The 22580-nt window shown below is 47.4% G+C and overlaps 1 protein-coding gene and 2 pseudogenes across 4 annotated transcripts; 1 reads left to right on the forward strand and 2 right to left on the reverse strand.

Moving 5' to 3' along the window:
• RPL35AP4 (ribosomal protein L35a pseudogene 4) lies at positions 1982-2104 on the reverse strand (annotated as a pseudogene).
• Positions 4087-22522, forward strand: KIFC1 (kinesin family member C1). 4 transcript variants are annotated; one of them, XM_011514585.2, is made up of 12 exons: positions 4449-4623; positions 10655-10792; positions 10914-11013; positions 15940-15993; positions 16111-16161; positions 16355-16755; positions 17478-18257; positions 18822-19112; positions 19218-19291; positions 19426-19501; positions 22104-22167; positions 22272-22522. In XM_011514585.2, exons 1-11 carry the CDS (start codon positions 4612-4614, stop codon positions 22125-22127), a joined length of 2001 nt encoding a protein of 666 aa, XP_011512887.1. In that variant the 5' UTR covers positions 4449-4611; the 3' UTR covers positions 22128-22167; positions 22272-22522. The 4 variants fall into 4 exon arrangements, with proteins under 4 accessions (XP_016866326.2, XP_011512887.1, NP_002254.2 ...); XM_017010837.2 differs by lacking the exons at positions 4449-4623; positions 22104-22167 and adding an exon at positions 4087-4426; NM_002263.4 differs by lacking the exon at positions 22104-22167.
• Positions 12638-13270, reverse strand: RPL12P1 (ribosomal protein L12 pseudogene 1; annotated as a pseudogene).
• Positions 22523-22580: the final 58 nt, after the last annotated feature.

Genomic DNA, 22580 nt, shown 5'->3' on the forward strand with positions numbered 1-22580 from the left:
TCTATTTTATTTCATTAAAAATTTTAAAATATTGGCCAGGAGCAGTGGCTCATGCCTGTAATCTCAGCACTTTGGGAAGCTGAGGCAGGCGGATCACTTGAGATCAGGAGTTCCAGACCAGCCTAGCCAACATGGTGAAACCCCCTCTCTACTAAAAATACAAAAATTAGCCTGGCATGGTGGTGCACACCTGTAATCCCAGCCACTTGGGAGACTGAGTCAGAGTCGTTTGAACCTGGGAGGCAGAGGATGCAGTGAGTCCAGATCGCACCACTGCACTCCAGCCTGAGTGATAGAGTAAGACTCTGTCTTAAAATAAATAAAAAAAAATTATTTAAAAAAAGAAGTAGCCTATCTCAGAGGCTACGCGACTTTATTACAGTTTTAAAAATGGAATGGTAGGCCAGGTGCGGTGGCTCACACCTATAATCCCAGCACTTTGGGAGGCTAAGGCGGGCAGATCACGAGGTCAGGAGTTCGAGACCAGCCTGGCCAATATGGTGAAACCCCGTTTCTACTAAAAATGCCAAAATTAGCTGGGCATGGTGGCGGATGTCTGTAATCCCAGCTACTCAGGAGGCTGAGGCAGGAGAATCGCTTGAACCCGTGAGGCAGAGGTTGCAGTGAGCCGAGAACACGCCACTGCACTCCAGCCTGGGGGACAGTGCAAGACTCCGTCTCCTTGGCCAGGCACAGTGGCTCATGCCTGTCATCCCAGCACTTTGGGAGGCTGAGGCGGGTGGATCAGGAGGTCAGGAGATCGAGACCATCCTGGCTAACATGGTGAAGCCCCATCTCTATTAAAAATATAAAAAATTAGCTGGGCGTAGTGGCGGGCGCCTGTAGTCCCAGCTACTTGGGAGGCTGAGGCAGGAGAATGGCATGAACCCCGGAGGCAGAGCTTGCAGCAAGCCGAGATTGCGCCAGAGCCAGACTCTGTCTCAAAAAAAAAAAAAAAAAAAAAAAGACTCCATCTCCAAAAAATAAAAAATTTTAAAAATGGAATGGTAGTTACCTTTGCTAGAGACTGAGCATGCATAAAAGTAATCTTAAATAACTTTTTCGCCTTTGGCCAAATGTTGGTTCATTGTGATTTGGAGTCTACCATTACTATAACTGTATCTGTACCTATACCAATATCTGTACCTGTACCTATACCTACATATGTACTTATACCTATACCATCTGTCCTCCCCTGAAAGACCTCATCAAAGTTCTCATCTTGCAATGTTTCCTGTTAAATATCATCATGACTACTTTTAACCTATTTGAATCAAGGCTGAGTTACAGCCTTTTAAATTTTTGAATAATTTTTTTTTTTTTTTGAGATGGAGTATTGCCCTCGTTGCCCAGGCTGGAGTGTGGTGGCACAATCTCGGCTCACCAAAACATCCACCTCACGGGTTCAAGCAATTCTCCTGCCTCAGCCTCCTGAGTAGCTGGAATTACAGGCACATGCCACAATGCCCGGCTAATTTTTTTTGTATTTTTAGTAGAGATGGGATCTCACCATGTTGGCCAGGCTGGTCTGGAACTCCTGACCTCAAGTGGTCCTTCTGCCTTGGCCTTCCAAAGTGCTGGGATTATAGGCATGATCCACCATGCCTGGCAATTTTTTTTTAAGAGCACAAATCCACGTTTATTTATTGACTTTTCTTTTTTCTTTCTTCTCTTTTTTTCTCTTTTTCTTTTTTTCTTTTTTTTGAGACGGAGTCTCGCTCTGTTGCCCAGGCTAGAGTGCAGTGGCACGATCTCGACTCACTGCAACCTCCACCTTCCAGGTTCAAGCAGTTCTCTGCCTCAGCCTCCCAAGTAGCTGGGATTACAGGTGCCCGCCACCACACCCGGCTTTTTTGTATTTTTAGTAGAGACGGGGTTTCACCATCTTGGCCAGGCTGGTCTTGAACTCCTGACCTCGTGATTCACCCGCCTCAGCCTCCCAAAGTGCTGGGATGACAGGCGTGAGCCACCGCACCCGGCCTATTGACTTTTCATTAGTTTAAATCCTTGAAGGGTACAGCATCACTCGGATTCTGTGTCCAATAGCCTTAGTGGGAAGATTGCTTCAGAATTTGGCACGAATCATGTCACTGTTTCCGTGGGCCTGCCTCAGCCTCCCGAGTAGCTGGGATTACAGGCGGCCGCCACCACGCCTGGCTAACTTTTTTGGTTTTTTTTTTTTTTTTTTTTTTTTGAGATGGAGTCTCGCTCTGTCTTCCAGGCTGTAGTGCAGTGGCGCGATCTCCGCTCACTGCAAGCTCCGCCTGCCGGGTTCACGCCATTCTCCTGCCTCAGCCTCCTGAGTAGCTGGGACTACAGGCGCCCGCCACCACGCCCGGCTAATTTTTTTTGTATTTTTAGTACAGAGAGTTTTTCACCATGTTAGCCAGGATGGTCTCGATCTCCTGACCTCGTGATCCGCCCGCCTCGGCCTCCCAAAGTGCTAGGATTACAGGTATGAGCCAACGCGCCCGGCCACCAAATAGTGTAATTTTTACAGTTACACTTTGTAACTAGTGTTGCTGAAGACGGAAATGCAATTGATTTTGAAAATTGATTTTTTCCTCTTACTGATTTTTTATCCATCAACCTTGCTAAACTTATTTATCAATTCTATCTGAATTTTATTTTAGGGATGCTGCACATGCAATAATTTCATCTGCGAATATTAACATTAATGTTTCTTGTAGTCCTTATATATTTGTTGCTTATTGGACTGGCTACAACTTCCATTGTTTTATTGATGAGGATTATTGAGAGCAGGCATCCTTGCCTTGTTCCCCATCTTGAAAGGAACGCTTTCAACATTTCCCCATTATGGTGATGTGTTTTGCGAAATTTTTGAAGATGTCCTTTATCAGCTTCTGGAGTTTTAAAAAAAATATCAACGGGTGTTGAATATTTTGAGTGACTTTGCTGCATCAATTGAGATGAATACATTTTCCCCCTTTAATCTGCTAATGGGTCTATATTTCTCCATTCCATTTAAATTTTTTTTTAATTTGATAAATATCTTTTGCTATATGTTTCTTCTCAGGTCTCCCTTCTCAGTTATCCCCCTTTACCTTCCATTGTTGGTTTTCTCTAGTTTCTTCCTTTTCTTTTTACTGTGTTCTCTTCAAGCTCTTGCTTTTTGGAGTTTTCCCAGGATATCAAAGGTTGGGGGGATGGCAACATGGTTTTCAGACAGTGTGTCTCCCCACAATCTGCTTCTCTCTACAAGCTTGTTTGAAGCCAAGTTAAAGCAATGGATAGAAGACGGCAGCGCGGGTGTCAGACCTGCCAATTTCCAACTGCACACCAAATCCCCGAACATATGCTTGAGGCCCCTGCCTTTCGGTTTCATAAATAAAACCCTGTCCTGACTACCTCCAGGATTGGATGGAAACTCGGATGAGTAAATATGGTAGAACGACTTTGCAAACTAGCACCCTATTCACACGTAAGGGGTTGCTCTTGTCACCGAGACTGTTAGAGGCAACGTGAGTTAACAGAAATAGCTTGGATTTTGAAGCTAATGGAATCTAGATCCATTCCTAACCAGCAGTGTGACCTTATTGTGTAATCTTTCTGAACCTGTCTCCATCCATCTCTACAAAGAATGTGGCACAATGTAGGAACTCAGTGAATTTTCGTGATTAAAAGACGAGATAATACAGGTGCACAATCTGCAAAACATAAAATACTCCATAAATGGAAGCAGTAAATCTTCCCCGAGCTCGAGACTCCAAAGGCCCTGAGCCCAGTACCAGTAACAGCACCCAGGTAAGTAGGCTGGCTGAGAGAAGAGGGCTATAAAGAAAAGTTCTTTCCTGAGCTTTGAATCCCCACTGTCAGGCTTCAATGGAGCGCAAAAATTCCTAAATTTGGTGAGAAATGGCAACATTACCAGGGAATGAACAGACCAGGCCACTCACATCCACGTGAGGGCTCCAGGAGCCACTTCCGGGCCCAGTCAACCACGACCAGGAGAGGCAGCGCTGGAGCCTCAATCACGTCGACGGAAAACAAGTGCGCTCCCTACTGCAGTCACCAGGAGGCGCTAGTCCCGCCTGTCTCCCGGCACGGGTCCTCGTTTGCGCACGCGTCATTTCTTTCCTCCAGCGTCCCCGCCCCTTCTCCTCCGGCCGCCACCAGTTTCGCTTGGCCAGTTGCGTTCGTGCGGCGACGTCCACGCATTTTCTGACGTAGCGAGCGACGGCGGGGAGCCGAGCGGAAGTCCAGCACTATTGCCGCTAGAGGAGGGGAGGGGTGAGAAGCATAAGTGGCACCGGAAGTGGAATTAATCCGCCTACCTCTCCTGCGCCTGCGAAACAGAAAAGACAAGGCGCCTGTCGGGCGGGGTGTGGCTTCGGGTGGCGGAGAACGCTGCGATTGGCCCTCGGCTGTGGCGACAGCGACGATTGGTCCCTGCGTGCAGAGCGCGGTGAGAGTGGGTGGTGGCCGTTGGAATTCAAAAGTGGCGGGTGTGGCGCGGGGCTGGTAGCGGCCGGAGCCGTGCGAGTTCTCTACCCTGCTTCGCGAGCGGGCGAGAGAACGCGAGTCCCAGGATCCCCGGCACCCAGTTCTCTTCCACTGCATTCCCCCGGCGCGTGTGGGACCGAGGTGGACATGGATCCGCAGGTGAGTAGGGGCGGCGCAGGTGTCCTGCCCTGGGGATGGGGACGAAGGCTGACCGCTCCGATGCTGTCGCGCCCCCGGCTCCCGGTCGGCCTTTGTCATGTCTACCGGGAGAGCGAAGGTCCGTGCGCCCCCGCACAAGTGGAAAGGGGCGGAGGCAGGAGTGGAGACGGCTTAGAGCACCCGGGGAGGTCGGAAGGCACGTCTGTCTGCCCTCCCCTAGCTTCAAGTTTCTGGAGCCCCTCCCTTAACTTTCATGTCTCCGAGATTTCTCATTTCGAATTCTCAGGCTCGTCTGACACATTTCCACTTCTTTATTCCTACTCAGGGTGTGATTGCAGTGTGTAAGAAGGGAGAGTTCTGATATGACTTCTTCCTTTTGGGGACATGGTGTCTGAGGCCACATCCTTGCTGAGGTCCTTTTGTGTTAATCGCCTCTCCTTATCACTGCTGCTTCGGAGTGTAGGAAAGGGAGAAGGAGAGTAGGGTAATCTGGGCCAAAAGACTTCTCATTCTCTCTCTCCTTTCCCAAATTGTGCAGATTCCTGCCCAATGAAACTGATTGATTTAGTTCTTTCTCTTAAATGGTGCCCTGCTGCACCCCACAACCATATGCAGCTTCCTGTCTCCAGTGAAGAGAGATGAATGTGTGTGACAGCTGGAGTGTACTTATCTCTGGTGCCAGGAAAGGTCTGCCTGAATCCTTTGTTTACTAGTATTTCACGTTCAGGTTTCCCTGAAGTTAGGATTCAGCCTTAAGAGAGATTCTTTCTCTCGTGACAACCAGAGAGCAGAGTAGTATTATGTGACAGTAAGAAGTAGTAAAAGCCTTCTCAGATCTATTAATCAAGTATTTATTGAGCACCTACTACATGCTAGGCGTGGTTGTAGGTACTTAGGATGCAGCAGTGAACAAGGGACAAATCGTTGCCATCGTGGAGCTGCCATTCTATGGGGATACAGACAATAAATGTAATAAATGAATTATATAACTGCCAGAAGGCCGTAAGTGCTGTGGAGAAAAGGAGAAATTCAAGGTTGAGGACATAGGGGAGGCCAACTGGCGGGTTAGAGTATTAAATAGGGTGGTCTCAGTAACCCCCATGGAAAAGATGAGTTGAATAAAGACTTGAAGGAAGTGAGGGAGACAGACAAGCAGATAGTGAGGGAAGAACATTTCAGGCAGAGGGAATCTGCTAGAGCAGAGTCCCTAAAGAGTTGTAAGGAGGGAAGTGTGGCTGGAATGAAGTGAGCAAGGGGAAAAGTTGTGGGAAAGGAAGTCAGGTAATGGGTAGTGGGGTTGCTGATCACAGTTTGTCCTTGTGGGGGTCGTTGTGAGGACTTTTACTCTGAGTGAGATGGGGAATCATTGGATGATTTTAAGCAGAGAGATAAGATTTGTTGGGTCCACCAGATTTTCGTAACCATAGCACCATTGCCTTTTTTTTTTTTTTTTTTTTTTTGAGACAGGTTCTCTTTCTCTGTTCCCAGGCTGGAGTGCAGTGGCATGATCATGGCTCACTGGAGCCTTAACTTCCTGGGCTCAAGTGATCCTCCCACCTCAGCCTCCTGAGTAGCTGGGACTACAGGCAGCTGCCACCATGCCTGGCTGATTTTTTGTATTTTTAATAGAGACAGGGTTTTGCCATGTTGCCCAGGCTGGTCTGGAACTAACTCCTGGGCTCAAGCAATTCGCCTGCCTCGGCCTCCGAGAGTGCTGGGATTACAGGCATGAGCCACCGTGCCCTGCAACATTTTTTTTTTTTTTTTTGAGAAGTAGTCACGCTCTGTCGCCAGCCTGGAGTGCAGTGGCGCGGTCTCGGCTCACTGCAACCTCCGCCTCCCGGGTTCAGGCGATTCTCCTGCCTCAGCCTCCCGAGTAGCTGGGACTACAGGCGCCTGCCACCACGCCCGGCTAATTTTTTGTATTTTTAGTATAGACAGGGTTTCACCGCGTTAGCCCGGATGGTCTCAATTTCCTGACCTCATGATCCTCCCACCTCGGCCTCCCAAAGTGCTCGGATTACAGGCATGAGCCACTGCACCTGGCCAACATTTTTTATTGTCGTGACTAGGTGGGGGGTTGCTACTGGCATCTAGTGGGTAGAGGGCAGGGATGCTGCTAGGCATCTGACAGTGTACAGGACTGCATTGGACATTGTCAAATGTCACCTTGGGGATAAAATCACCCCCAGTTGAGAACCACTGGTTTATGATAATCTAGGTGCCAGATGATGGTGTCTTAGGTCAGGGTGATAGCAGTGGAAGAAACAGTAAAAAGTGATTGGATTCTGGATATATTTTGAAGGTACAATCAGCCATGCTTTGCTGACAGATTAGATGTGGTATGTAGGAGAAAGAGAGGACTCTGGGTTTTTGGCTTGAGCAACTGAAAGATGGAGTTATATCAATTGAGATGGAGAAAGCTGCAAAAGGAGCAAGTTCAAAGCAGGGTTGGACATCAAGAGGTCAGTTATTAGACTTCCAAATGGAGATTTTTTTTGATACGGAGTCTCTCACTCTGTTGCCCAGGCTGGAGTGCAGTGGTGTGATCTCAGCTCACTGCAACTTCTACCTCCCAGCTTCAAGCAATCCTCCCACCTCAATCTCCCGAGTAGCTGGGATTACAGGCACGTGCCAGCACACCTGGCTAATTTTTGTATTTTTAGTAGAGACAGGGTTTTGCCATGTTGGCCAGGCTGGTCTCGAACTCCTGAACTCAAGTGATCCGCCCGCCTCGGCCTCCCAAAGTGCTGGGATTACAGGCATGAGGCACCACTCCCAGCCTTAAATAGCGATGTTGACGATGCAGTTCAGTATAGGTGCAGGATCGAGGTCTGAGCTGGACATATAAATTTGGAAACTGTCAGCATATCAATGATATTTAAAGGCATGGGAGTGGATAGTGAGTATAGATAGAGAATGCTGTTAAAATCTGGAGAGATGAGGAGGACCTGCCAGTGAGGTAAGAAAGAGTGGTCTCCTGGAAGCTAACTGAAGAAAGCCTATTAAGGAAAAGGGAGTAATCAGTTGTATCAGATGCTGTTTGATGGGTCAAGAAAATGAAGATAAAGAATTGACTTAGCAACATGAAGTTACTTGTGATCTTGAGGATAGCAATTTCGATGGAATGGTGGGAATGAAAGCCTGATTGCAATGGGCTTAGGAGAGAAATTGGCCACGATGAATACACTAGAGGTAATACTTTAGAGTTTTGCTGCGAAAGGCGGCAAGGAAAAAGGATAGTACCTGTTAGGGAAAGCAGAGTTCAGATTCTTTTAGTTTCGAAGAAATAATAGAGTTTGTGGTATGCCAATTGGAGTGATGCCATAGAGTACAAAGCTGATGGTGCAGAGGTGAGAAGGGAGGATTGCTGGAGGAATGTTCCTGAAACTGGGAGGATTTGGCGAGTCCAGGATTTGGTGAGGAGGGATGGGAATGTGATGCATATATGAAAGGGTTGCCTTAGGAGCAGGGCCATCCACCTCTGATCTTGTGGTGAGGTGGATGTAGGCAGGGTTGCATGAATATCTGTTCTTATAGAAGGTTAAGTGCTTATGCTTCTCACTGTGGAAAGTTGGAGGGCATCATTCTAGCTTTATATTAATAGATGGGAAAAATATATATACTGTGGTCTTTGGAGTTGTCCTGAATAAACAAACCTTTAAACACATTTTCTGAACCGGCATAAATTCCAAGGAGGTAGGTCTGTAGCAGATCCACTACGGTAGTGTAGAGAGGAGGAAGGGCACAGGTTATTTTTAAAAATTAGTGTTTGACTTTGGAATACTTAAAGAAAAATTTGGTTTCCATACTATATTTGATTACACTAAATTAAAATAAGCTTTCTTTGTGCACACTTCTGTAGGTGGCAGGAAAAATGCTACCTCTTTTTTTCCCTTTTTATTTTTATAGAAGCCAATGGTATGGATATATCACAGTTTAAGTATTGCCCCACTGATGAACATTCAATTTCATTCCTTCAAAAACTGTAGAGTCCTACCATGTAGCAGACATTGTACTAGGCCCTCTGGTTATATAGTTATGAACAAAACAGATGAATTCTTATGGTGCTCACAGTCTTATGTAGGGGTTATGATAATAAAAACAAAAGAAAACAGTGTATCAGGTTGTTTCATGATTTTTAAAAATAATGATGCTCTGTGAACTTCCTTGAGTAAATCTCACTGTATCACGGGTAGCTCAAACTCACTTTCCCAAAATTGAACTTAGCATCCATGAAACCAATCCTGCTGGGTCCAGTGGCATGTGCTTGTTGTCCTAGGCACTTAAGAGGCTAAGGCAGGAGGAGCACTTGAACTCAAAGTTCAAAGCCAGCTTGGGCAACCCTGTCTCAAAAACAAATAAACAAAAAACAACTCTTCAGGTACTCAGATCTCTGTGTTATTTCTTTTCTTTTTCTTTTTCTTTCTTTTCTTTTCTTTTTTTTTTTTTTTTTTTGAGACAGGATCTCAATATGTCGCCCAGGCTGGAGTGCTGGAGTGCAGTGGCATGATCACGGCTCACTGCAGCCTTGATCTGGGCCCAAGCCATCCTCCCACCTCAGCCTCCCTTGTAGCTGGGACCACAGGCAAATGTCATCTGGTTCGCTAAGGTGGATGTCTGCCTAGCTTAGCCCTCAAGCTTCTAGAATAGCCCCTTTCAACTAGGTTCCATGAGAATTAATTTCTTTTTTTTTTTTTTGAGACCGGAGTCTCGCTCTGTCACCCAGGCTGGAGTGCAGTGGCACAATCTTGGCTCACTGCAAGCTCCGCCTCCCGGGTTCACGCCATTCTCCTGCCTCAGCCTCCCCAGGAGCTGGGACTACAGGCGCCTGCCACCACGCCCGGCTAATTTTTTGTATTTTTTAGTAGAGACGGGATTTCACCGTGTTAGCTAGGATGGTCTTGATCTCCTGACCTTGTGATCTGCCCGCCTCGGCCTCCCAAAGTGCTGGGATTATAGGCATAAGCCACCGCGCCTGGCCAAGTTCTTTTTTTTTTTTTTTTTTTTGAGACGTAGTCTCGCTCTGTCACCCAGGCTGGAGTGCAGTGTTGTGATCTCGGCTCACCGCAACCTCCACCAATCGTTCAAGCGATTCTCCTCCTTGGCCTCCCAAGTAGCTGGATTACAGGCACATGCCACCATGCCTGGGTAATTTTTGTAGAAACAGGGTTTCACCATGTTGGTCAGGCTGGTCTTGAACTCCTGACCTCAAGTAATCTGCCCGCCTCAGCCTCCCAAAATGCTGGAATTACAGGCATAAGCCACCGTGCTCGCCCAGAATTAAGTTCTAATGCCCTTTTTTTTTTTTTTTTTTTGAGACGGAGTCTTACTCTATTGCCCAGGTTGGAGTGCAGTGGCGTGATCTCGGCTCACCGCAACCTCTGCCTCCCAGGTTCAGGCGATTCTCCTGACTCAGCCTCCCGAGTAGCTGGGATTGCAGGCATGTGCCACCACACCCAGCTAATTTTTGTATTTTTAGTAGAGACGGGATTTCACCATGTTGGTCAGGCTAGTCTCAAACTCCTGACCTTGTGATCTGCCCACCTCTGCCTCCCAAAGTGCTGGGATTACAGGCATAAGCCACTGCACCCGGTCCAGGTGAAACATTTCAAACATGGCTCAGTAAATATTGCCTGATTCTCCCAAGCAGTCTTCAACACTCACATATCTTCCACTCTCTCCCTTGTTTATGATTCTCAGCTCCAGCCAAAAGGGCCAGTTGGTTTCTTAGCCATGCTATGTACATATTTGAATTTTTGCCTTCCAGGAAGAGCATCCATTCCTCTCTGCTTGTTTGAGTCCCACCCTTAAAGTTAGTCAAGTCCAGCTTTTCCCCTAGAGGTTATTCCCACTTTTAGGTTATGTCCTCACTTCTGTTCATGCTGTCTGGCACATAATTCAGCTTTTGGCACAAGTGGTGCTCAGTGCTTGGTGGTGGTGTTGACAATTGAGGCTGGGGGCCAAGACAGGAAGTTCTTGGGACATTTGGGCTCCTGGGTATTGTCTTAAGGGTCTCTTTTCCCAACAGAGGTCCCCCCTATTGGAAGTAAAGGGGAACATAGAACTGAAGAGACCTCTGATTAAGGCCCCTTCCCAGCTGCCTCTCTCAGGAAGCAGACTCAAGAGGAGGCCTGACCAGATGGAAGATGGCCTGGAGCCTGAGAAGGTGAGCTGGGCATGGAGAGCTGTGCATGTGTGTGGGGGGTGTGTGTGTGTGAAAGAAAGGAGAGAGAGAGTATAAACCATTAGGGAGGGTGACTATGGACCTTGTCTTTATCTTTCCCCAGAAACGGACAAGAGGCCTGGGTGCAACGACCAAAATTACCACATCCCACCCAAGAGTTCCATCCCTCACTACAGTGCCACAGACACAAGGCCAGACCACAGGTGGGCTCTCAGGATGGATAGACTCCAAGGACATGGAAGTCCAGTGCTCTTCAACTCACTTGTTTCTTTTCTTTCAATTTTATTTTATTTTTTTTGAGACAGAGTCTCGCTCTATCGCCCAGGCTGGAGTGCAGTGGCTCAATCTCACTCACTGCAACCTCCTCCTCCCAGGTTCAAACGATTCTCCTACCTCAGCCTCCCGAGTAGCTGGGATTACAGGTGCCCACACCATGCCCAGCTAATTTTTGTATTTTTTTCAGTAGAGATGGGGTTTCGCCATGTTGGCCAGGCTGGTCTTGAACTCCTGACCTCAGGTGATCCACCCGCCTCTGCCTTCCAAAGTGCTGGGATTATAGGTGTGAGGCACCGCACCCAGCCTATTTTGAATAGGTAATAACATTTCATTTGGTTCAAAATTCCAAAGGCACAAAGGTTGTTGTATAGTGAAGTTTGCTTCCTATTTCTGTCCTCCAGCCACCCAATTCTGCTACCCAGGGCAACTGTGTGTTCTTCCAGGGAAATTCTATTGGTATTCAAGCAAGTAAGACTATACTCCCCCACCTTTTTTACATAAATGGTGGCATACTTTAGACATGGTCCTGCTTTTACTTATCTTAATCCAAATTGCTTTTTGGCATATGGAGTACAGTTGGCCCTCTGTATCCGTGGGTTCTGCTTCTGCAGATTCAACCAACCATCGGTTGAAAATATTCAAGGAGAGTGGGCACAGTGGCTCATGCCTGTAATCCCAGCACTTTGGGGGGCCAAGGTGTGTAGATTACCTGAGGTCCGGAGTTCCAGACCAGCCTGGCCAATATGGTTGAAACCCTGTCTCTACTAAAAATATAAAATTAGCCAGACGTGATGGCCCGTGCCTGTAATCCCAGCTACTCTGGAGGCTGAGGCAGGAGAATTGCTTAGAACCCAGGAGGTGGAGGTTGCAGTGAGCCGAGATTGTGCCAGCCTGGCGACAGAGCGAGACTCGGTCTCAAAAAAAAAAATGAGAAAATATTCATGGAAAATAAAAAATAAAACCAAAAAATACAGTATAACAGTTATGGTCATGTGTCACTTGGCAATGCAGATACATTATCAGAAATGCATTATTGTGGAAACATCATAGAATGTACTTACTGAAACCTAGATGATCTAGCCTGCTACACACCTAGGCTATCTGCGATAGCCTATTGTTCTTGGGCAACAAGCCTGTGTGGCGTGTTACTATACTGAAGCATGGTAGGTAACATAACACAGTGGTAACCATTTGTGTATATAAACATACCTAAACATAGAAAAGGTACAGTTAAAATATAATATAAATGATAAAAAATGGCACACCTGTACAGGGTACTAACCATTAAATGGAGCATGTTTGAATGGAAGTTGCTCTGGGTGAGTTAGTGAGTGAGTGGTGAGTGAATGTGAAGGCCTAGGGCCTTACTGTACACTGCTGTAGACTTTAGAAACATGGTACAGTTAGGCTACATCAAATTTATAAAAAATAGTTCTTTTATAATAAATTAACCTTAGTTTACTATAACTATTTTACTTTATAAACTTAACATTTTTTTTCCCACTTGCCAAGGCTGATGTAACATTTTAATCTTTTTTTAACTTTTTTTTTTCGACCAGTTGTCAAATGATCCTTTATTGAAATATTTTCCTTTGTGCTTAACTAGCTGGGCATTCCACAGCACCACTGTTGATGTCATCTATGATGTCATGAGGGTGGTGGCCATCAACATTACAGCCCATAGACTGGGCAGTCCCCGGAATCTCTTTAATGGTTCCAGAGAGTTCTCTGGCTAAGGATCGGTGCCGCATCTGTCGAGCAATGTTGACGATCTCATCAAAAGTGATATTCCCATTGTGTTTAATGTTTTTCTGTTTCTTTCTGTCTCTTGGTGGTTTCTTGAGGGCTTTGATGATCGGGGCAGAGGCAGAAGGCACCACCTCAATCTGGGCCTGTCTGTTCTCAATGGTCAGTTTCACTGTAATCCTCAGGCCCTTCCAGTCACCCGTTGCCTTGGCAATGTCATCACCAACCTTTTTTGGAGACAGACCCAGGGGGCCGATCTTGGGGGCCAGGGCAGAAGTGGCACCGACTTCACCTCTGGTGCACCTCAGGTATACGACCTTGATCTCGTTGGGGTCGAACTTCGGTGGCATGGTGGAGGCAGCTGGTGTCGGATGAACCCAGATTCAGGATGACCGAAGAAAGTTGCACCTTGGCCTCCTCCGAGCCGAAAGCCGAGAGCTTCTCTCTCTTTTTTTTTTGAGATGGAGTCTCGCTCTGTCGCCCAGGCTGGAGTGCAGTGGCACAATCTCGGCTCACTGCAAGCTCCGCCTCCCGGGTTCCCGCCATTTTCCTGCCTCAGCCTTCCGCGTAGCTGGGACTACAGGCGCCCTCCACCACACTTGGCTAATTTTGTTTTTTTGTATTTTTAATAGAGACAGGGTTTCACCATGTTAGCCAGGATGGTCTCGATCTCCTGACCTCGTGATCTGCCTGCCTCAGCTTCCCAAAGTGTTGGGATTACAGGCGTGAGCCACTGCGCCCGGCTAACTTTTTGACTCTTGTAATAACAACTGAAAACACAAACATTGTATAGCTTTACAGAAATATTTTATTCCTTTATATCCTTATTCCTCATGCTTTTTTTCTATCTAAATTTTGTTTTGGGCGGGGAGCATATATTCAGGGCAATATGAATCTCTGTCTCCTGGCTTGAAAATAAAATTTTTGTTTTTTGTTTTTTGTTTTTGAGACAGAGTCTCGCTCTTTCGCCCAGGCTGGAGTGCAATGGCGTGATCTCGGCTCAGTGTAACCTCCGCCTCCTGGGTTCAAGTGATTCTCCTGCCTCAGCCTCCCGAGTAGCTGGGACTATAGGTGTGTGCCATCATACCCAGCTAATTTTTTGTATTTTTAGTAGAGATGGGGTTTCACCGTATTAGTCAGGATGGTCTCGATCTCCTGACCTCGTGATCCGCCCGCCTCAGCCTCCCAAAGTGCTGGGATTACAGACATGAGTTACTGCGCCCCGCCTGAAATTCTTTTTTTAATTTAAAATTTTATTTATTTGTATTTTTTCCAAGAAATAAGCTTAAATTTGAAAAATTTTAAATATTATTTTGCTTTTCAAACTTTTTGTTAAAAACGAAGAAATATACACATTAGCCTAGGCCTACATAGGGTCAGGATCATCAACATCACTGGCTTTCACCTCCACATCTTGTCTCACTGGAAGATCTTCAGGGGCAGTAACACACATGGAGATGTGACTTCCTGTGATAACAATGCTTTCTTCTGGATTGCCTTTTTTTTTTTTTTTGAGACGGAGTCTCGCACTGTCGCCCAGGCTAGAGTGCAGTGGCATGATCTCGGCTCACTGCAAGCTCCGTCTCCTGGGTTCACACCATTCTCCTGCCTCAGCCTCCGGAGTAGCTGGGACTACAGGTGCCCGCCACCACGCCTGGTTAATTTTGTTTTTGTATTTTTAGGAGAGACGGGGTTTCACCGTGTTAGCCAGGATGGTCTCAATCTCCTGACCCCTTGATCTGCCCACCTCGGCCTCCCAAAGTGCTGGGATTACAGGCGTGAGCCACAGTGCCTGGCCTGGAATGCCTTTTGAATGACATGCCTGAGGCTGTTTTATAGTTAACTGTTTTTGCAAATAGAAGGAGTATACCCTAAAATAACAATAAAAAGTACAGTACGGTAAATATATAAACTAGTAACATAGTCATTATCATTATTAGGTATTATGTACTATATGTAATTATATGTGTTATACTTTTATACAACTGGCAGTGCATTAGGTTCGTTTATATCAGAATCACCACAAACAGGTGAGGAATGCTATGACATTACCATGGCTATAATGTCACTAGGCAATAGGAATTTTTAGCTCCATTATAATGTTACGGGGCTACTGTTGTATATGCAGTCTGTCATTGACCGAAATGTCATTATGGGCACATGACTGTATTAACATAGCATTTACATTGTGTTAGATATTATAAGTAATCTAAAGATGATTTAAAGTATATGCGGCTGGATGTGGTGGCTCACGCCTGTAATCCCAGCACTTTGGGAGGCTGAGGCAGGCAGATCACCTGAGGTCAGGAGTTTGAGACCAGCCTGGCCAACATGCTGAAAACCTGTCTCTACTAAAAATACAAAAAAAAAAAAATTAGCCAGGCGTGGTGGCGCTTGCCTGTAATCCCAGCTACTCAGGAGGCTGAGGCAGAAGAATTGCTTGAACCCTGGAGGTGGAGGTTGTAGTGAGCTGAGATCGCGCCATTGCATTCCAGCCTGGGTGAGAAGAGTGCAACTCCATCTCAAAAAAAAAACAAAATGGAGGCCAAGGCAGGCAGATCACCAGAGGTCAGGAGTTTGAGGCCAGCCTAATCAACATGGTGAAACCCCGTCTTTACTAAAAATACAAAATTAGTTGGGCGTGGTGGCGCATACCTATAATCCCAGCTACTCGGGAGGCTGAGGCGGGAGAATCGCTTGAACCCTGGAGGTAGAGTTTGCTGTGAGCTGAGATCATGCCATTGCACTTCAGCCTGGACAACAAGTGAAACTCTGTCTCAGTCAATCAATAAATAAAGTATATGGGAGCGTGTGCATAGACTATATTTAATACTATATACCTATTTATGTAAGGGACTTGGGCATCCTTGGATTTTGGTATTCTTGGGGGGTGCTGGAATCAACCCCTTTTGGATACTGAGGGATGACTGTAATTTCTGGTTCTAGGGGAGGTATCATTAGGAGCTGGCCAGACTTAGGGATAAGGGAAGGAAGTTATCCTATTTCTAATTCTGAGAAAAGCACTTCTTCTGCCCCTGTCCTAGCAAGTGTACATGCCATCTTAAGAATGATCATTCTACCTTTGCTCTCTCCCATCTCCTGGGCAGCTCAAAAAGTTTCCAAGAAGACAGGACCCCGGTGTTCCACAGCTATTGCCACAGGTAACTGTGCTCAAGAGCTGGGTCTGAGAAGGGATTTGGGGTATGTGTAAAGGGAGAATGATGGAGGTGGAGGGACACTGGTCCTGTAATTCCTAAGTCACCTCCTCAATTCTGTAGGGTTGAAGAACCAGAAGCCAGTTCCTGCTGTTCCTGTCCAGAAGTCTGGCAGTAAGTGACAAACATAACCACTGGGTGAGAGGCTGGGATAGGGAAGAGAAGATGGTGAGTGACCAGAAAAATCCATTTGGTCTCTAAGGGGAAGGAGATGTAGCATCAGGTGTGGATCCCATAAAGGCTAGAAGGGAGGAGGGATAGAGAGCCTAGACTTCACTGACCTTTGTCCTTTCTGTGTTCATCTTAGCATCAGGTGTTCCTCCCATGGCAGGAGGGAAGAAACCCAGCAAACGTCCAGCCTGGGACTTAAAGGGTCAGTTATGTGACCTAAATGCAGAACTAAAACGGTGCCGTGAGAGGACTCAAACGTTGGACCAAGAGAACCAGCAGCTTCAGGACCAGCTCAGAGATGCCCAGCAGCAGGTCAAGGCCCTGGGGACAGAGCGCACAACACTGGAGGGGCATTTAGCCAAGGTACAGGCCCAGGCTGAGCAGGGCCAACAGGAGCTGAAGAACTTGCGTGCTTGTGTCCTGGAGCTGGAAGAGCGGCTGAGCACGCAGGAGGGCTTGGTGCAAGAGCTTCAGAAAAAACAGGTGGAATTGCAGGAAGAACGGAGGGGACTGATGTCCCAACTAGAGGAGAAGGAGGTAAGGGCCAGATTTTCACCAGATGTCAGCCCCGCTTTCCTGGCAGAGGTCATGCCTCCCCTCCCTTCCAGGTACCCCTCAAGTCTGGGCTGAGAACTCCTGAGCACCTATCTTTAGCAGTATAGGTGCTGCTGAAGATACCTCTCTCTTGACCTGTCTGCACCCCAGCCCACTCCTGACTGTCTTGCTTTCTGCCACGCTTCTTCCTACCCTTGACTGTTTGCAAAGCTCTCATTTAGATCTGTGTCTTTCTTAGTCCTCCATCCCTCTTTCTTTGGGTTCCCATCCTGATCACAAATTCCTGTGGTACTCTCTTTCCCTCCTCCCATGTCCACTTGACTCCTTCCTGGTGAGCACCAACTAGATTAAGTTATTTGCAGTCTCTTAAATGACTCAACTTTCACTTCTGGGCATTCTGCATATGTGCTTCCCTCTTTCTGGAATGTTCTTTGTATACTACATCCTTCCTTGGTTCACTCCTGTACTTCTGGGTGTCACCCTAGATATCATCTTCCTTGTGCTCCTCTTTGTGCTTGGACATACCCATAGCACTCCCTGTCTTAGTACCATGATTCCTTATTTTCTCATCTTTCTTTGTTTACCAGACTTTGAGGTCCTTTTGAGCAGGGACCTCACTTCCACCCACTCCATACGCCCCACAGTTTGTTCTTCTTCTTGGTTGCATCTTACCCTCTGTGTATGTTGTGTTCTCTTCTGGGCAGAGGAGGCTGCAGACATCAGAAGCAGCCCTGTCAAGCAGCCAAGCAGAGGTGGCATCTCTGCGGCAGGAGACTGTGGCCCAGGCAGCCTTACTGACTGAGCGGGAAGAACGTCTTCATGGGCTAGAAATGGAGCGCCGGCGACTGCACAACCAGCTGCAGGAACTCAAGGGCAACATCCGTGTATTCTGCCGGGTCCGCCCTGTCCTGCCGGGGGAGCCCACTCCACCCCCTGGCCTCCTCCTGTTTCCCTCTGGCCCTGGTGGGCCCTCTGATCCTCCAACCCGCCTTAGCCTCTCCCGGTCTGACGAGCGGCGTGGGACCCTGAGTGGGGCACCAGCTCCCCCAACTCGCCATGATTTTTCCTTTGACCGGGTATTCCCACCAGGAAGTGGACAGGATGAAGTGTTTGAAGAGATTGCCATGCTTGTCCAGTCAGCCCTGGATGGCTATCCAGTATGCATCTTTGCCTATGGCCAGACAGGCAGTGGCAAGACCTTCACAATGGAGGGTGGGCCTGGGGGAGACCCCCAGTTGGAGGGGCTGATCCCTCGGGCCCTGCGGCACCTCTTCTCTGTGGCTCAGGAGCTGAGTGGTCAGGGCTGGACCTACAGCTTTGTAGCAAGCTACGTAGAGATCTACAATGAGACTGTCCGGGACCTGCTGGCCACTGGAACCCGGAAGGGTCAAGGGGGCGAGTGTGAGATTCGCCGTGCAGGGCCAGGGAGTGAGGAGCTCACTGTCACCAATGCTCGATATGTCCCTGTCTCCTGTGAGAAAGAAGTGAGGACCCATGGGCACTGGAACTGGGAAATGGGGAGGAGTGGGCAGGGTGCCACGAGATGGAGGTAGAGGGAGAAAGGAGCAAGAGAGAATTGAAGGATGAAGTGCAAGTTATCAGGCTGGGTTACCACATCCGGTTTTGGCCTGTGGGCTGTCGGTAGATCTGCCTTAACCTGGGAGTGGCGAGGGAGTGATGCATCTGCCAAAACGAGGAGGGTCACTACATCTCATGTCTCATCTTCTTGCTCAGCTCATCCTAGCCATGCTGGCCTCCTGGCTGTTCCTCAACCAGCTAGTCGTGCTCCCCATCTCAGGGCCTTTGCCTGGATGCTCTTTCCTGGAGATCTTGGCTATCCTGTCAAAACTTGTGTTCCCCACCCCGCCTTTATACACTCCCTATTCTATGTATTCCTTACCATTTTCAGACATACTGTGCATCTTATTTTGTTTCTTGACAGGCTAGAAAGCTTCAAGAGGGTGGGGGTGGGCTCTTATTCATTTCCATACATATTACTATGTACTGACTTCTGCCTGCCTTTTTGCCCCTTCTGCTCCCATCCCCAGGTGGACGCCCTGCTTCATCTGGCCCGCCAGAATCGGGCTGTGGCCCGCACAGCCCAGAATGAACGGTCATCACGCAGCCACAGTGTATTCCAGCTACAGATTTCTGGGGAGCACTCCAGCCGAGGCCTGCAGTGTGGGGCCCCCCTCAGTCTTGTGGACCTGGCCGGGAGTGAGCGACTTGACCCCGGCTTAGCCCTCGGCCCCGGGGAGCGGGAACGCCTTCGGGAAACACAGGCCATTAACAGCAGCCTGTCCACGCTGGGGCTGGTTATCATGGCCCTGAGCAACAAGGTGGGAATGGGAGTGGGGTGAGATACGGGACCTGGGGGACAGTTGGGGTTGGCTGTGCAGAACCCTGCCTATTCCTAAACATCTGTCCCCACCTCAATCATCTAGGAGTCCCACGTGCCTTACCGGAACAGCAAACTGACCTACCTGCTGCAGAACTCTCTGGGTGGTAGTGCTAAGATGTGAGTGAAAGGGACAGATGGAAGGGGTCAGGTAGGAACTGTGTTGGGGTGAGGGGTAGAAAGGGGAACAGTGGAGACCTGTCCAGGCTCTGCTGGCCCCTAATGCTGGGGTTGGGCACATTGTCTTTTCATAGGCTCATGTTTGTGAACATTTCTCCACTGGAAGAGAACGTCTCCGAGTCCCTCAACTCTCTACGCTTTGCCTCCAAGGTGCGATTACCACCCGTCAGCCTTGTCAGGACCCGTGGGTGGTTGTAGGCTTCTCCATTCCAATCCCTTTTGTCTTCTAGGGCAGGGAGCACATTTGTGCAGAAAGGTTTTGCAGGTATCTGAGGCACTGCTCACCTGGTTCCATTTTTAATTATTAGCTTTTGAGTTAAGTTTTTTAAAAAACGGGTGATTAATTTAACCTGAGAAAGCTGATTAAAAAAAAAAGAAAAGGTGACTAAAAGGTCTAAACTGGTTGGGCGTAGTAGCTCATGCCTATAATCCGAACACTTCGGGAGGCCAAGGCAGGAGGATTGCTTGAGCCCAGGAGTTTAAAATCAGTCTGGGCAACATAGTGAGACCCTGTCTCTACAAAAAATAGGAAAATTAGCTGGGTGTAATGGCTCACACCTGTAGTTCCAGCTACTCAGGAGGCTGAGGTGGGAGGATCACCTGAACCTGGGAGGTGGAGGCTGCAGTGAGCCGTGATCCTACCACTGCACTTCAGCCTGGGTGACAGAGTAAGACCTTGTCTCAAAAAACCAACACACAAAAAATCCCTAAGATTCCTCCCTATCAGCATACAGAGATCATTATTTTTAGGTCTGCCTAGACTCCACTATGTAGCTGCACCAAAATTTATCCACCAGTTCCCTCTACTGGACACTTGGATTGTTTCCACACTTTTTTAGTCACAAACAAGGCCACGTTGACTAACTTTGTACATACATCATTTTGTATTTTTCAGTTACATCTAACTAGGGAAATAGTCCTTGAAATGGGATTACTGGATCAAAGACTTAGAGGTTTTTCAGACTATTCCAAATAGTGTGAATTCAGACTCCAAACCTCATGAGGGTCAGCCAGTGGCTATATGAATTCTCACTAATGAGAATTCCTTCCACTAGAATCTCCTTCCACTAGTGTTAAGCAAGTCAGAAAGTTTCCTTACTGTCTGCCTCCACAGTAATTTTTTTCTCTGGTACACCCTCCTCCTGCGCGTATAGCCCTTTGATGGGCTCTGGCTTTATTTGAGGTCTGATCAGGTCTGTCCTGCTGTGCGCTTGGGCCTCCTCCCAGTCAGCACTGATTGTTGCTGTGGAGTAGCCAGCACCTGCACCCTGATCTGGTATTCTACTTTGATGAGGGTTTCCCTCACTATCTTGCAAGTTCAATTTTAGAGGGTGGTGATGTTTTTTCTAACTTTTTATTAATGTTATACCAATGTAACATCCAACAACATGAACTTTAATATCCTCTAATACCCAGTTTATGTTAAATTTCACCCAACTGTCTCAGAAGTGTCTTTTATACATAATAGGTTTGTTCAAATCAGGATCCAGGCAAGGGCCACCCACTTGGTTGAAATGTCTCAAGTTCCACAACCCTATCCCACACTGCCACTATTATGTCGTTTGTTGAAGGTCATTTGTCCTATAGAATATACTATTCTGGATTTTGGCTGGTTGCTTCCTCTTTCCCCCATACTTTCACTTATTTATCATATTTGGGTGTTGTCAACCTGACCCATCCATTTACAAGCTCCTTATTGACTTTTTCACCTAGTGATTTTATCCAGCAGTGACCATACCTGGATCTTTATTTCATTAAGGGGTTTCTAAATGGGGATTTTTCTAATCTTAGTTGTTCTGCATTGGTTAGTCACGATTCTTTTATGAAGACATTTGCCTTGCCATCTACTTGGTTTCTCTGAAATTCAATTCATACAGGAAAAACAAGATAAATGCTGAATTATTTATTGATTTTCAGTATTGAGTTGATATCCTAGCAGCTTCCAAAGGTGACCAATGAATGTTTATCTGAGGGTTATTTTTATTTTTATTTTTTTTGAGACAGGGACTTGCTCTGTTGCCCAGACTGGAATTCAGTGGCTCAATCATAGCTCATTGTAGCCACCAAAAGTGTTGGGATTATAGGCGTGAGCCACCCAGCCCGGCCACAGTCGTTCTTCTTTCTGATGCTCAAATTGCCCCATCTTTAGCCAATAGGAACCTCCTGGCCGGGCGCGGTGGCTCATGCCTGTAACCCCAGCACTTTGGGAGGCTGAGGTGGGTGGATCACGAGGTCAGGAGATCGAGACCATCCTAACACGGTGAAACCCCGTCTCTACTAAAAATACAAAAAATTCACCGGGCGTGGTGGCGGGCGCCTGTAGTCTCAGCTACTTTGGGAGTCTGAGGCAGAATGGCTTGAACCCGGGAGGTGGAGCTTGCAGTGAGCCGAGATCGCGCCACTGCACTCCAGCCTGGGCGACAGAGCAAGACTCCGTCTCAACAACAACAACAAAAAAAAGAGCCTCCTTCAGATTGGTGCCAGTGTCCTTTAGACAGAACTCTAGTAGTCTTTTCAGATTCAACTTGTACATTTCCTTCCCCAGACTTCAACTGATCCATTTTCTAAGGAGTCCTAGTTCCTAAATGGGTGTTATTACTATTTTATCTCGGTTTAAGTGTTTTACAGTGGGAGAGGTTGGAGGTCTCTAGTACAGGGTATTGCTGGAAATGAAAGCCTCCTTTCTCTGCTCCTGTATTTTCTTCTGGGGCTTCCATCTCTTCTCAAGCCTTTTCACCTCCTCCAAACCTAGTGTGCAGAGGAGAACAAACCATAACTGGCACCAGCCTGAACCAGCCTTTGGAGGCCTTATTTCGGTATTTCTGAGGGCAGCCCTAGCATTGGAGGATGGGAGATCTTGGGAAAAATGTTGTATTGGTTACGCTGCAAACTTTTATCCTGTCTAACCCCCTGCCCCCAGGTGAACCAGTGTGTTATTGGTACTGCTCAGGCCAACAGGAAGTGAAGACGGATCCAGATCTGTGTGTGTGTGTGTGTGTGTGTGTGTGTGTGTGTGTGTGTGTGTGTGTCCCTATGTCTATGTATCGGGTGAGGGGTGGGAGGGTTGCTGGAGGGTGCTTTATTGGGTGGAGGGCACCATGTCCCAGGGCTATCAAATAAAGAATAGTTTGGTTTTTTTTTTAAATAAAGGTTTTATTAGCATTTGCCCAAGAAGGCAGATACTTTCATATCTGTAAAAGTGGGAGCTGTGATCTGTACCCTCTGCCAA

This window comes from Homo sapiens, chromosome 6 (assembly GCF_000001405.40).
Source record: "Homo sapiens chromosome 6, GRCh38.p14 Primary Assembly".
Classification (NCBI taxonomy): Eukaryota; Metazoa; Chordata; class Mammalia; order Primates; family Hominidae; genus Homo; species Homo sapiens.

Coding starts and splice junctions, on each gene's coding strand:
- KIFC1 (NM_002263.4), top strand. Junction 15,994..16,110: donor TTCCACAGCTATTGCCACAG/GTAACTGTGCTC, acceptor TCAATTCTGTAG/GGTTGAAGAACCAGAAGCCA. Junction 19,292..19,425: donor CTGGGTGGTAGTGCTAAGAT/GTGAGTGAAAGG, acceptor GTCTTTTCATAG/GCTCATGTTTGTGAACATTT.